The sequence below is a fragment of the Homo sapiens genome, chromosome 3 (genome assembly GCF_000001405.40).
Source record: "Homo sapiens chromosome 3, GRCh38.p14 Primary Assembly".
NCBI classification, from domain to species: domain Eukaryota; kingdom Metazoa; phylum Chordata; class Mammalia; order Primates; family Hominidae; genus Homo; species Homo sapiens.
The window spans coordinates 42,528,370-42,541,299 of NC_000003.12; the positions used below are offsets into that span (position 1 = coordinate 42,528,370).

Here is a 12,930-nt window from a genome sequence, read left to right on the forward strand (position 1 = left end):
AAAGCAGATGGGAAATGGGACACTTCATGGCCACAGCCCAGAGCACCTGTCCCACCTGTTGCTAACTTCCTATGTGGCCTTGGGGAACTTACAGCCTCAGTTTCCCCATCTGTGCAAGGAATTCCAAGATTCCTTCCAACTCTGCCATCTGCCACCTGCATAGCCAGGGCTCTGCTCACCATGCCACTTTTCCTACTCCCCCCGTCCCCGTGCCATCTGGAGTGGGTCCATACATATGCAGTCCTCCTCTTTTGTTCTGATCCTGACAGCAGGCTGGTTCTGGGCCTTCCTAGGGAAGAGAGGTAAAGGGATCATCTAAGGAATTCATTGCCAGTCACTAAGGGGGCCATCTCCAAGGGATTCTTAGGGACCCTCTCTGAGTGCCCCAAGCTTTGACAGAGAGCTTGAGATCAGCCCCAGCCCCCACTCATTCCTTGTGGTCAGTAACTCATTGCTTCATGCATGACCCCAGAGGCAGTGCATTATATCAGGGGTCAGCAGTACCTTCTCCCCAAAGAGTGAAATGATCATACTGGAATCTCAGGCATTTCAACAAGGGGGAGAGAAAACCTAGGGGACCCACTTTGGCCATTCCCAGAGCTTCTCAGAGGTTCTGTCCCAGGAGCTGTGAGGCCAAGTCAGACATGAGCATTGTGAGCCACAGGACCTGTGGAGGAACCTGCTGCCTCCTGTGCACATGTTACGGATAATTATGGAGACTGGCTTCCCAATTCATTACTGCGAAGCTTTTCTAAGACTAGGAAGAAGCACAGATAACTGTCCTGGTAAAGAGCTGAGTTATGGCCAGACGCGGATTATGGCTCACGCCTGTAATCCCAGCACTTCTGGAGGCTGAGTTGGGCGGATCATGAGGTCAGGAGTTCAAGACCAGCCTGACCAACATGGTGAAACCCAGTCTCTACTAAAAATACAAAAATAAAAAAAATTAGCTGAGTGTGGTGGTCAGCACCTGTAATCCCAGCTACTCAGAAGGCTGAGGCAGAATAATCGTTTGAACCAAGGAGGCAGAGGTTGCAATGAGCCGAGATCATGCCATTGCACTCCAGCCTAGGTGACAGAGCAAGACTCCATCTCAAAAAAAAAAAAAAAAAAAAGAGTTATTCTCCAAAAGCAAATGGGAGGAAGATGGGGAGGCAAGAACTCCTGTAACTGGAGGGACTGAAGCGAGACCTGAGGAAGGACTTTCCAACCAAAGGGAGTGGTGGGGGCAGGGGGAGGCTTCTCTCTGAGGATGTCGCAAACCAAGGGTACAGGAAGGAAGGGTGGGAACCAATGTTTTGGGTACAGGGGGAAGTGGAAGCCAGACAGTTTCCTGGTGGAGGGTGGCTTTAAGCCCTGGCTGACAGACATCTAGGCTTGATCTGAAATGGGGGACTTTCTGGGAGGGGACAGAAGGCCCAGAATACCTTCCAGTCATGCCAAGTGGGCCACCCAGAGCCCTGTGATTGCTCTACTCATGGGTCTCCCTAACTCCTTCATGGTCCTCGTCTGCCTAAGAAACCCATTCTTCCACTCGGTCCTCTGAACCCCAGGAGGAATGGCCACCCCTCCCCTCTTCTCTTCTTCTTCATTTCTACTTCCCCCTCTTCCACCCTCTTCTCAGTCCCAGTCTCCCTCCACACTTCCATCTGGGCCCCACTCCACAGTCCACAGCCCTCCACTCCCCCACATTGAGCAGACTCTTGAAACTCAAGCAAGAATTCTCCCTCATACCTTCCAGCTACCTTCAATACAAATTGGCATTAGATGAATGAGTGGGTGGGGTGGGAGTGTGGATGGGCAGGTTGGTGGATGGCTAAGTAGGCAGCAGGATAAATGGGTTAAGTAAGGAAGATTGGACAGATGATAGGCAGAGGGGCAGGTAGGTAGATATGTGGGTGGATGCACAAGTGGATTGATGGGTGGGTGCAGAGATGAATGGATGGGTAGATGACTGAGTGGGTTGGTAGAAGAATGGAGAGATAGGTGTGTGGGTGGATGGATTGATAGATGGGAAGATGATAGATGATGGATGGACACATGGATAAAAAATGGATAAATGAGTGAGTTGATAGTGAATGTCTAGTGGGTGAGTGGGTAAATAAATGGATACATGGATAGGTGGGTAGATGATTGAATGGGCAGATGGGTAGATATATAGATGGGAAGGTGAATAGATGAATTGATGGATGGATAATTAAAATCACCAGTTTATCCCGAAGTATCAGAGGATCTAAAATTAGGGAAAATGGGAAAACCAATGAGTACATTTTTAAGGGGATAATGCAAAACAACAAAGAGATTAAGTTGGCTGCACTGCAACTGTGTTTGTCCCCCCAGACACGAGTGTGGGCAGTCAAGGACCCTTGACAGCCCCAGTGAACCCCGTCTTTTCTCCTCCCCCTGCAGGTGGGCTGTAAGGCAGCCATGGTCTTTTTCCAATATTGTGTCATGGCTAACTTCTTCTGGCTGCTGGTGGAGGGCCTCTACCTGTACACCCTGCTTGCCGTCTCCTTCTTCTCTGAGCGGAAGTACTTCTGGGGGTACATACTCATCGGCTGGGGTATGGTACCAGGGAGGGCTTCCAGGCTGGGGACAGAGGGGGCAAGGCCTGGAGAACTCCCTAGGGGGAGGGTGCCAACCCAGCTTGCAGTCCTACGTCTTGCTTAGCTGCAGGTCCTGCCTGCAAGGATATCAGCCAAGGGTCAAGAAAGTCCTCAAAATGTCTGATCCCAGGACAAGTCCCTCAGGTTGCAGCTGCACCTAGGGCTGACCTGTGGGACAGATTTTGTGAACATCTTTCCATTTCCCTTTAGTTCCCGAAATACACAGGGCCACTGCTAATCTATAAAGGGCCTCTGTCACAATTAGAAAGAGAATGTCCGTCTAGGTAGACACAGCCCTTCAGGCATACAGCTTCACCCCCTCAGTGGAGCATCCCTCCGTGGTGAACAACCTATGCAACCAAAGACAGCAGACTGACAACCCACCCTTTTCTCTCTCCCTCCCTCTCCCTGCTTTTCTCCAAAATCTCTCCCTCATGCCCTCTACCCCTGCTTCCTGTGCCCTCTCTGCTCTTTCACTCTCCCTGGGCCTGACAGGGGTACCCAGCACATTCACCATGGTGTGGACCATCGCCAGGATCCATTTTGAGGATTATGGGTGAGCTGCTGCCCCACACACTCCCCCGGCCGCCATCACTTGGGCAGGCCCCCTGGGTGGGATGATAATGCCATCTGGCCTTGGTGAGTGGACAAAAACCACAGCTCTCGGGCCAGAGGGGAGGCTGGAGGAGGACCTGGGGAGCAACAGACTCTGGGCCCGGGGTTGCTAAAGTGCTCAGGAGCAGAGCTGGGGACAACTGGGGGAGGTGCTGCTGAGTCTCTCTCTGGCTGAGGACAATCCCTCTCATTCCTCCCCACGGTCTGCTCAGGTGCTGGGACACCATCAACTCCTCACTGTGGTGGATCATAAAGGGCCCCATCCTCACCTCCATCTTGGTAAGATACCCTCCCACCACCTAGAGATGGGGAAACAGGCCCAAAGGGCAGGCAACTTAGCCCAAGGTCACATGGGAAATTAGTATCTAGGTCAGAACTGAAACGTAGCTTCCTAATGCCCAATGCAGGATCATCCCCACCCCTGTCCTACCAGTTCTTCCTTGAGCGTAAGCGGATTGGGAGCACAGTCCTTAGGGATTTGAAGGAGGTAGAGTTCCCGGATGACCTGCCCAAAGGGGAAATGCCAGAGGAGAGGTAAGATAGAGAGAGGGGCAGCAGGACCCTGGGAAAGAAGACAGGCCAGCAGTCAAGGGGCCTGAACACCTCAGCCTTCCCGCTCTGACTGCCCGAACTCGGGTCCCCACCCACTAGGTAAACTTCATCCTGTTTATTTGCATCATCCGAATCCTGCTTCAGAAACTGCGGCCCCCAGATATCAGGAAGAGTGACAGCAGTCCATACTCGTGAGTGTGGGCCTAGTGCCTCAGCCCCCAGTACCTCCATCCCCAGTCCTCAAATCATCCCACATCTCCTTGAAGTCCTCCCACCCCAAACATCCAGAGTCACCAAAGAGCCACATTGTTCTTTCCCACCTCCACCATGGCCTGGCTCAGCCCACCACCATCCCCTGCTCCAGCCCCACCCTCACCAGGCTGCACTCAGAGCCCTGCATGCTTCTCCTGCCCACACTCACCTAGCATCCTTCCCAGGTATGCATCTGCTGCCAAGCCAGGGAGCTCAAGAGGACACCGATGACCTGTGTCTTGTTCATACCATGTGCCCAGTCCCTGGCATGTGCCTCACATGGAAAAAGGGTGCAATAAACACATAGTAGATGAATGCCCTGGGGGAGACCCCAGTCCACCAATGAGACAGCCATGTTCGGGACTCAGTATTCCTCAGTAATAATGATGACACCTGCAGTTTACATGCCAGGCACACGCTAAGGGATTTCCATGCATCATGTCATTTCATCCACACAGTCCCCTGCAAAATTATCTTTACTTTACAGGGAGGAAATGACATACACTCCCTTCTCCTTGAGGGTTTTGGAGCAGGTCACCATGGGCAGGGAGAAGGGGGCACAATGTCCATGGACCAGGGCTTGGAAAGGTGTCAGGACTGTTCCCCCTGCTTGGGAGGACTGGAGGAAGAGGCAGGTTTTTTTGCGGGAGCAACAAGGCTTGAAGACAGAGCTAAAGAAACATGAAAAATATGAAAAGGGAGGCTGTGGGAAGGCAAGTAGGGTCTGCATGCTCACAGATGGGAGTAGGAGATTGAGTATCAGTGCTATTGACACAAGACAAACCTGGGACGTCCCACAAGGCCTTCCAGTCCTGGGATTCTTCTTGGCCTGGCTTCTCTTTGGAGAGTCTGTGCTGTGGTTCTAAGATTCCTGGCTAGAATGTCACAGACTGCTGGATTTAGGATTCTATTCTGGAATCCTGTGATTCTCCCTGATGAGACTAAGACTCACATTCCTGGTGTGACTGCATTCTCTCCTGCCAGGTGTGTAGGCGGAGCTTCCCTTCCTGTCTGAGAAGGAAAGGCTGGGGGGGACGGGGGGGGCATCTGCAGTCTGCTGAGGGGCAGCACATCGGGCCTGTGCACCCTTATCCTCTCCTTTGCCGATGGGACCTTATTTCCCCCAACTTACAATGGTTCAAAAGGGCCTGAATCTGAGGCAAACAGAGCTGGCCATGGTCAGGGCCAGGTCTGTGTGGTGAGACAGAAAGGAAACAGTTGTCAGCAGGCAAAAGGGGTGGGGGCAGTTGGAGATGAAGCTCCTCAAGGAGAAGCTGTCAGCTCCCACTCTACACCTCCCCATAAGCCTTTGATTTAAAGAAAGCCTCCATCTGTTAGCCTCCGGTGTGTGGGATAGTTTTGCAGCCGAAGAGGGGTGGGCATTGCTCAGGATCTTGGCATGGCTGAGAACCAGGTCCAGGAAGGAGTGGGAGGGGCAAGGCCAGCTCCTCTGCCCCCAGCTTGCTGTGGGACCTCAGGCCTTGGGCTAGACTTCCTTGGACTGACTGCTAAGGCAGGAGAGACAGAGTCAGAGACCCTCCCTATCCACACCCCACCTCTCCTAGCCAGGGAGCAATGGGTTCACACTGCCTGGATCAGCTATGAGGTCAGGTGGCTGGGAGGCCTGAACCAGGAAGAGCTCTGGGCCATGGGAGGCGGGTGAGCATTTAGAATGAATGCTGACCCTACTGAGCACACAAAGCTGTGAAGAAGGAGCTGGTCCTTCAGAGCACGCTGGGAGTATATGCACTGGTGTGGGGAGGTAGGAGGAGGGGGATGCAACCCCAGAGAAGGTGGCAACTTCTGGAGAAGCAGACACAGCAGAAAAAACACAGATAGAGGGCGATACTGATTAATTTTGGGTTGTCCCTGGTGATCAGGTATGAACTTGGGTCCCCATCACCCTCCCAAGTGGCCCTGGGCATATGTGGTCAGCACCCAGTTAGAAAGACTTGTTTCCTAGTACGTCTTCTCTCATGGTCTCTCATGGATGCACTATACTTCATAGTACCCAAAACACTTCCAAGTTCATAGTGGGCCTCTGTTTCTATAATTTGACTATGTCGAGCATACACTTACTGCATTATACAAATTGGAAAAACTGAGACCAGGAGAGGAGGAACCAGAATCTCTTGTTGCCTAAGAGATTTTCTACTGCTCTTGATGGCTGAGAGCATCCTCTACTGCAATGATGAGGTAAGCCTCTCCTAGACCAGGGGGCCCAGGCAACAGAACTCCCAATAGTGGATTTCAGCTAACATGTCCCTGTTAGCATCATTCTCACTGGCCTCTCCTTTACCTCTTACCCTCTCTCCTCCAGAAGGGTGAGAATAGAGGGGGTTTCTTTCTCTCTCATGCTTCCCTCCAGGCCAGGAGGGCTGGGGGCAGAAGGGCAGAGGCACTGCAGCTGTGGAACAGGAGCAGACAAGGGCATAATATTCAGAGGAACCTACAGTCCATCCTCATACTTCCTGGTCATTGTCCCCATCTTCTGTGCCTCCAGCTGCCCCCATGCCACACCCTATCATATCCACATGTGTGGACACACATACCCATGGCCTGTCCCTCCCCTGTCTCCAGAAGGCTAGCCAGGTCCACACTCCTGCTGATCCCCCTGTTTGGAGTACACTACATCATGTTCGCCTTCTTTCCGGACAATTTTAAGCCTGAAGTGAAGATGGTCTTTGAGCTCGTCGTGGGGTCTTTCCAGGTATGGGCTGTTGACTTAAGGCTGCATTCTTCCCTGGCTTTTAAGGGAATTCAACCTGGAGTCTTGGCCCTTGCCACTGGATTCCAACCTTTTTACTGTAATAAGTATTAGATAAGCACCTACTTTGTGCTTAGCTCTTTCCTTAACCAGGGGAACACAGGGGCTGGAGCCAGGGGTGGGGCAGGGCTGGGGGCTTCTGGTCTGTCTACCTCACCTCTCCTGTCATCTTCCTTCTCAGGGTTTTGTGGTGGCTATCCTCTACTGCTTCCTCAATGGTGAGGTAAGCCCCTCCCAGTCCTTGGGGCTTAGGCAATGGAACTCCCAGGACCAGGGTCCGGAAACATTGGTGGGATATGTGCAGAGCAAGGACGGGTTAAACCTTGCTGCTCCAAGTATGGTCCTCAAACTAGTAGCACTGGTGTCACCTAGGCCCTTGTTAAAAATGCGCATCTCTGGGACCACCCCAGACCTGCTGGCTTAGAATCTGCATTTTAATAATTATTTTAAAAAACAAACAAACAGCTTTTTACTAAACCCCAGGGGGATTCCTGTGCACAACAGAGTTTGAGAAACACCTAGTTAAGTGGCTGTGTGCAGTGAGTGGGGAGGGATGAGGGCTTCCAATGAAGGTTGAGTTGCTGTGGAGCTCTGGTTACATTGCACAAAAAACCCACTCAAGTGAGCTGGAGACCCAGGATGGGAAGAATTGGAGTACAGTCACCCCTAGGCAGCATCCCTCCCTCTCCCTGGACTGTATTCTAGGATCCTCTCTGCCTCTTACCTCCTGCCATTCCAAGGCCTCCTTCTGAACCTGGCCTCAACCCAGTCCCAAGTTTGCACCGCCCGAGGCAGCATAGGGGTCCCTCCATTTTGATTTCCTAAAGAGAATAAGACTGGCTAGTTCAGAACCCTAAGTCCAGGGCAGCCCAATCAGCAGTGGAAGAGGCTCCACAGCAGTGGGCCTGACCACCTTCCCCTCTCCTAGGTGCAGGCGGAGCTGAGGCGGAAGTGGCGGCGCTGGCACCTGCAGGGCGTCCTGGGCTGGAACCCCAAATACCGGCACCCGTCGGGAGGCAGCAACGGCGCCACGTGCAGCACGCAGGTTTCCATGCTGACCCGCGTCAGCCCAGGTGCCCGCCGCTCCTCCAGCTTCCAAGCCGAAGTCTCCCTGGTCTGACCACCAGGATCCCAGGGGCCCAAGGCGGCCCCTCCCGCCCCTTCCCACTCACCCCGGCAGACGCCGGGGACAGAGGCCTGCCCGGGCGCGGCCAGCCCCGGCCCTGGGCTCGGAGGCTGCCCCCGGCCCCCTGGTCTCTGGTCCGGACACTCCTAGAGAACGCAGCCCTAGAGCCTGCCTGGAGCGTTTCTAGCAAGTGAGAGAGATGGGAGCTCCTCTCCTGGAGGATTGCAGGTGGAACTCAGTCATTAGACTCCTCCTCCAAAGGCCCCCTACGCCAATCAAGGGCAAAAAGTCTACATACTTTCATCCTGACTCTGCCCCCTGCTGGCTCTTCTGCCCAATTGGAGGAAAGCAACCGGTGGATCCTCAAACAACACTGGTGTGACCTGAGGGCAGAAAGGTTCTGCCCGGGAAGGTCACCAGCACCAACACCACGGTAGTGCCTGAAATTTCACCATTGCTGTCAAGTTCCTTTGGGTTAAGCATTACCACTCAGGCATTTGACTGAAGATGCAGCTCACTACCCTATTCTCTCTTTACGCTTAGTTATCAGCTTTTTAAAGTGGGTTATTCTGGAGTTTTTGTTTGGAGAGCACACCTATCTTAGTGGTTCCCCACCGAAGTGGACTGGCCCCTGGGTCAGTCTGGTGGGAGGACGGTGCAACCCAAGGACTGAGGGACTCTGAAGCCTCTGGGAAATGAGAAGGCAGCCACCAGCGAATGCTAGGTCTCGGACTAAGCCTACCTGCTCTCCAAGTCTCAGTGGCTTCATCTGTCAAGTGGGATCTGTCACACCAGCCATACTTATCTCTCTGTGCTGTGGAAGCAACAGGAATCAAGAGCTGCCCTCCTTGTCCACCCACCTATGTGCCAACTGTTGTAACTAGGCTCAGAGATGTGCACCCATGGGCTCTGACAGAAAGCAGATACCTCACCCTGCTACACATACAGGATTTGAACTCAGATCTGTCTGATAGGAATGTGAAAGCACGGACTCTTACTGCTAACTTTTGTGTATCGTAACCAGCCAGATCCTCTTGGTTATTTGTTTACCACTTGTATTATTAATGCCATTATCCCTGAATCCCCCTTGCCACCCCACCCTCCCTGGAGTGTGGCTGAGGAGGCCTCCATCTCATGTATCATCTGGATAGGAGCCTGCTGGTCACAGCCTCCTCTGTCTGCCCTTCACCCCAGTGGCCACTCAGCTTCCTACCCACACCTCTGCCAGAAGATCCCCTCAGGACTGCAACAGGCTTGTGCAACAATAAATGTTGGCTTGGATTGGCTTGGTTCCCCTGGTGGTTGATATTCTCATATGGCCTAAAATGGGACCAGCTTCCAACTTGGAGCCATCTTCCTCCACCCAAAGGATGGGTGATCTAATACATTACTGAAACCAGATGCCTCAACTCTTTTGGCTTTTGACAGAAATCCATATTTTCATATGAGGCATTCACAGTTCTGAGGGCCTTCAGCTCCCATCTTTTTGAGTGGTATCCTCTCTCCTCTGAGTGTGATGAAGACCAGGTCCCCATTGTGTCCCCCCACTCCTTAAATCCAGCCAAGAAAAGACCATTCTAATCTCAGATCAATACAAAACAGCTGGCAGAGCTGCCCAGGGTCCCAGAAATGGTTGAGTGTGAGTGTTTCACAGGCCGCAGACATTGCTGCAAACAAGGGTCTAGGATGACCATGTTGCAATTACCCAGGGCTCAGCTAAGAGGAGGTAGGTAGTGGACAAAACAAATGTCACCAACACAAGTTGAGTGAGCAGAGACAATATGGCACTAATAAAAAGGTTTAGACACAGAGGCAGTATGGCAAATATCATCAGTCAGCAAGAGATGTCTCCAAAGCCGTTCCCATGCTGACCTCCTTGGGTCCCACCTCCTGCAAACTTGCTAGAGGAGCAGGAGAGGGATGTCAAGCTGGTAAAATGTGGTCAGAATGGGCTGGCAAAGGCTCATATCTGCCTGCCCAGCTACTTCAATGCCTTGTCTGACCCAGTACCATTCCAGGACCCATCATCAATGACAGTTCCAACCCAGTATCCTCAGAGGCCAGAGTCAGGGGTGTTCAGGCCAGAATAGAAGTGACTGTGAGCCATGGGCAGAGGCACCCCCAGGGAAATGCCCTTTGATCAGTTGCCCAGCATATCCAGGAGTGGCACGGTCTCTCCATCTAGATTCACACTCCATGCCCTGCCCTGTGCATGGTCAGCCATAGGATCGAGAAGGAGGCGCTGTTCCTAACCTTGACCTCAGGTACCCCCAGGCCTGCTAGAGAGAACATTGTCAGTAGCCCCCACCCCTGCCCAGACCAACAGTGGTGACCACCAGTGAGGTACTGGTGGTGGAGAGCTGAGCTGGGGCATCTAGAACTTCTTTCATTCTTCCCTGAGCGTCTTTTTTTTTTTTTTTTTGAGATGGAGTCTCGCTCTGTCGCCCAGGCTGGAGTGCAAGTGGTGTGATCTTGGCTCACTGCGACCTCCACCTCTCAGGTTCAAGCAGTTCTCCTGCCTCAGCCTCCTGAGTAGCTGGGACTACAGGCATGCACCACCACGCCTGGCTCATTTTTGTATTTTTAGTAGAGATGAGGTTTTGCCATGTTGGCCAGGCTGGTCTTGAACTCCGGACCTCAGGTGATCCGCCCACCTCGGCCTCTCAAAGTGCTGGAATTACAGGTGTAAGCCACGGCACCCAGTCTACTGACCCTGGGCATCTTGCATTCCCGCCACTCCAAGGCATAGGAGTTGAGAGACAGGGGACAGACAGTCTGTCCATGTTCCCCTCATCCAATTGGGGCATGCCACTCTCTCTCTCTCTCTCTCTCCCTCTCTCTCTCTGGTTTCCCTCCTCCCACTCCCTACTTGGTGCCACTCTGAACTGCTTCCAGAGACCCTGTCCACCCCATACTTCTCAGTAAGGTCCAGAAGACCCAGCCCTTGTCATTTAATCCCAATTCTGCTTCAGACTTTCTCAGAGATCATGGGCAGGTCTCCTCCTGATTATGAATCTCTCCATCCACCTGCACAATAGGGAGTGTTCTAGATGACTTTGCTTAGTCCCTGGCTAAGGCACAGATGATTAATGACGAGGGGCTGCCCAGAGCCTTCTGCCACCCACTCTGCCCCCCTGGGCTCAGGGGAAGGACAGCAGCTGGTGGGAGGAGCCCCAAGAAGTTGGGGGCTAAGGCATACACAGAGGATGGAGGCTGTGCAGAGAACAAGGTCAGAGATCTGGCAGGACTCCTTGAGAGATTAACTCAGGCCAGTAGAAGAAAGGAGAAGGGAGAGGGGGACAGAAATGCAGAGGAAAGGGCAGCACCTTGCCTTCCAGGTTAGGACCCTATAGACTGCCTGGGCTGTGTGAAGGCTGGGAGGGGCCCCCACACCACACTGTATCTGCCCCACCCACCACAGTCCCTGATATCCCCCCGTATTCGTGTGTCATGGCTTTGGGGTAAGGCAGACAGCCTGGGTAGGGGACCAGTTGTCAGCCAAGAGGGTGGAGAGTGAATGAAGCAGAGATCCAAGATGTGGGCAACAAAAGGGAGGACATAGGTGGGGCCCTGCTCAGAGAGGTTACTGGGAAGGGCAAAGCTTAGTGATGGGCACTTAAGGATGGCGAGAAGCTGAAACAGTCTCCCAGGCCGGAAACAGCCGTGGAATAATGGGGTTGGCCACAAGCAGGACTTTTCCTGGTCCCCTCCTTCTCCCCCTGCCCCGCCCACTCCCAGGTCCCTTGCCAGGTACCTGTCCGGCCAGGCCAACTCATCTCTATCGCCCCCTGGTGGATGCTTCAAGGACTTCACTAAGATTGACCTTAGTGCCCAAACACCTGGGTGGAGGCCCATTCCTAGGAGGCCAAGTGATCCAGAGGGTGGGCCTCTCTCCTGAGCACCATGCAGAGTGAGATACAAGAGGGAGGAGGCGGTGAGGCAGTGAGGCCGCAGGACTGGTTATCAGGCTTTAGTCTGAAATTAAGGCGACCCGGGGCCTGGCCCTTAGACCCAGGCCACTGACCTCTGCTGCACACAAACCCTGCCTCAGACCCAGCTGTAACCCCCGATAGAGCCCAGCCTCTGACTGGCCACAGGCTGGACCCTAGCCACTGACTGAGCCCTAAGCCCAGTCCCTGAGGGCAAAGCCCAGTTGACTCATGTGGGTACCTCCTGGGAAGACAAGGACAAGGAGCACCCCACCATCCCTGTGCAGAGAGCCACCATCCCCTCCATGGCAGAGGTCACCATCTGGGCGATTCCTGCCACTCCAGGGCATGGGCTGCCCAAGGAGGGTGGCCAGTTTGCCAGCAGTATGGATAGGGGACGGTGTCTCAGGTGAGGGAACATCGAAGTGGTCTCTGAGGGCTAGGTAGGGGTCTCTGGGTCCCAAGAGAACATGATGGGTGCCAGGGATAACTGAATCCTAGAGGGCGGGCATCAGGGGTCCTTTGCAGCAGGAGCACAGTGGAGGCTTCCTAAGTGAGGCCGAGGGGATGATGGTGGGTTTGGGGCGGGCCACTCTGGCTACTGAGAAGGGCCCAAGGGGCAGGCTGGGAAAAGCTGCCAGTCCCCCATCCAGGTGGGGAGGAGGAGGGCTGGGGAAATGATGACCTGGTTTAGGACATGCTGAATGTAATGTCTGCAGGACATCTGAGGAGAAGCTCTAAGGCAATTGGAATCAGGACCCAAAGTGACAGAGCTCAGGTGGCAGGTGGGGACAGAGGGCAGCCCCCTTGGGGAGGGGTGTGTGGGGAGTGTATATCCCCAGGCAACCCCATCTGCTGTGCTGGCAGGAGTGGGGTGAAGAGTCAGAATCAGCCCCTCCATTCTCACCACTCACCCAGGGCCTATTTTAATGAACAATGACCCAGCCTCTCCCAATGTGGGAACAGGAACTGCTCTTATCTCTCCCAGGGGAGGGGGCCGGAGCCACAGCTGGCAGTCATTAAACACCCCAATCAGGCCAGGGATGGCCAAGATATTAATAGGCAGGAGCCAGTGACCCTGGA

The 12,930-nt window shown here is 53.6% G+C and overlaps 1 protein-coding gene and 1 long non-coding RNA gene across 13 annotated transcripts in view, besides 3 other annotated features; one reads left to right on the top strand and one right to left on the bottom strand.

The window, feature by feature from the left end:
• The window catches only part of VIPR1 (vasoactive intestinal peptide receptor 1), a 48,270-nt gene extending 39,071 nt beyond the window's left edge, over nt 1-9,199 (top strand). For 7 of the 12 annotated variants that reach the window (NM_001251882.2, NM_004624.4, XM_005265437.3 and 4 more), the window contains 7 exons: nt 2,410-2,563; nt 3,102-3,162; nt 3,434-3,500; nt 3,873-3,964; nt 6,606-6,735; nt 6,974-7,015; nt 7,721-9,199. In NM_001251882.2, the coding sequence (NP_001238811.1) occupies nt 2,410-2,563; nt 3,102-3,162; nt 3,434-3,500; nt 3,873-3,964; nt 6,606-6,735; nt 6,974-7,015; nt 7,721-7,912 (738 nt within the window). In that variant the 3' untranslated portion in view covers nt 7,913-9,199. Of the gene's footprint in view, nt 1-2,409; nt 2,564-3,101; nt 3,163-3,433; nt 3,501-3,872; nt 3,965-4,210; nt 4,374-6,605; nt 6,736-6,973; nt 7,016-7,720 lie in introns of those variants that run through there. The other 5 variants (XM_011534080.3, XM_047448850.1, NM_001251883.2 and 2 more) reach the window with 4 other exon arrangements.
• On the bottom strand, nt 2,527-4,237 carry VIPR1-AS1 (VIPR1 antisense RNA 1). The gene is made up of 3 exons (NR_046654.1): nt 4,195-4,237; nt 3,652-3,726; nt 2,527-2,589 (listed from the first exon to the last, which is right to left on the bottom strand). It is a non-coding gene; the product is annotated as a VIPR1 antisense RNA 1 (long non-coding RNA).
• Nucleotides 5,010-5,511: an enhancer, noted in NCBI's record as "H3K4me1 hESC enhancer chr3:42574871-42575372 (GRCh37/hg19 assembly coordinates)". NCBI's record gives its function as "activates a minimal SCP1, AML or CMV promoter by ChIP-STARR-seq in primed H9 embryonic stem cells {active_cell/tissue: H9 hESC(primed)}" and the evidence as "EXISTENCE:reporter gene assay evidence [ECO:0000049][PMID:30033119]".
• Nucleotides 11,554-12,055: an enhancer, noted in NCBI's record as "H3K4me1 hESC enhancer chr3:42581415-42581916 (GRCh37/hg19 assembly coordinates)". NCBI's record gives its function as "activates a minimal SCP1, AML or CMV promoter by ChIP-STARR-seq in primed H9 embryonic stem cells {active_cell/tissue: H9 hESC(primed)}" and the evidence as "EXISTENCE:reporter gene assay evidence [ECO:0000049][PMID:30033119]".
• Nucleotides 12,056-12,555: an enhancer, noted in NCBI's record as "H3K4me1 hESC enhancer chr3:42581917-42582416 (GRCh37/hg19 assembly coordinates)". NCBI's record gives its function as "activates a minimal SCP1, AML or CMV promoter by ChIP-STARR-seq in primed H9 embryonic stem cells {active_cell/tissue: H9 hESC(primed)}" and the evidence as "EXISTENCE:reporter gene assay evidence [ECO:0000049][PMID:30033119]".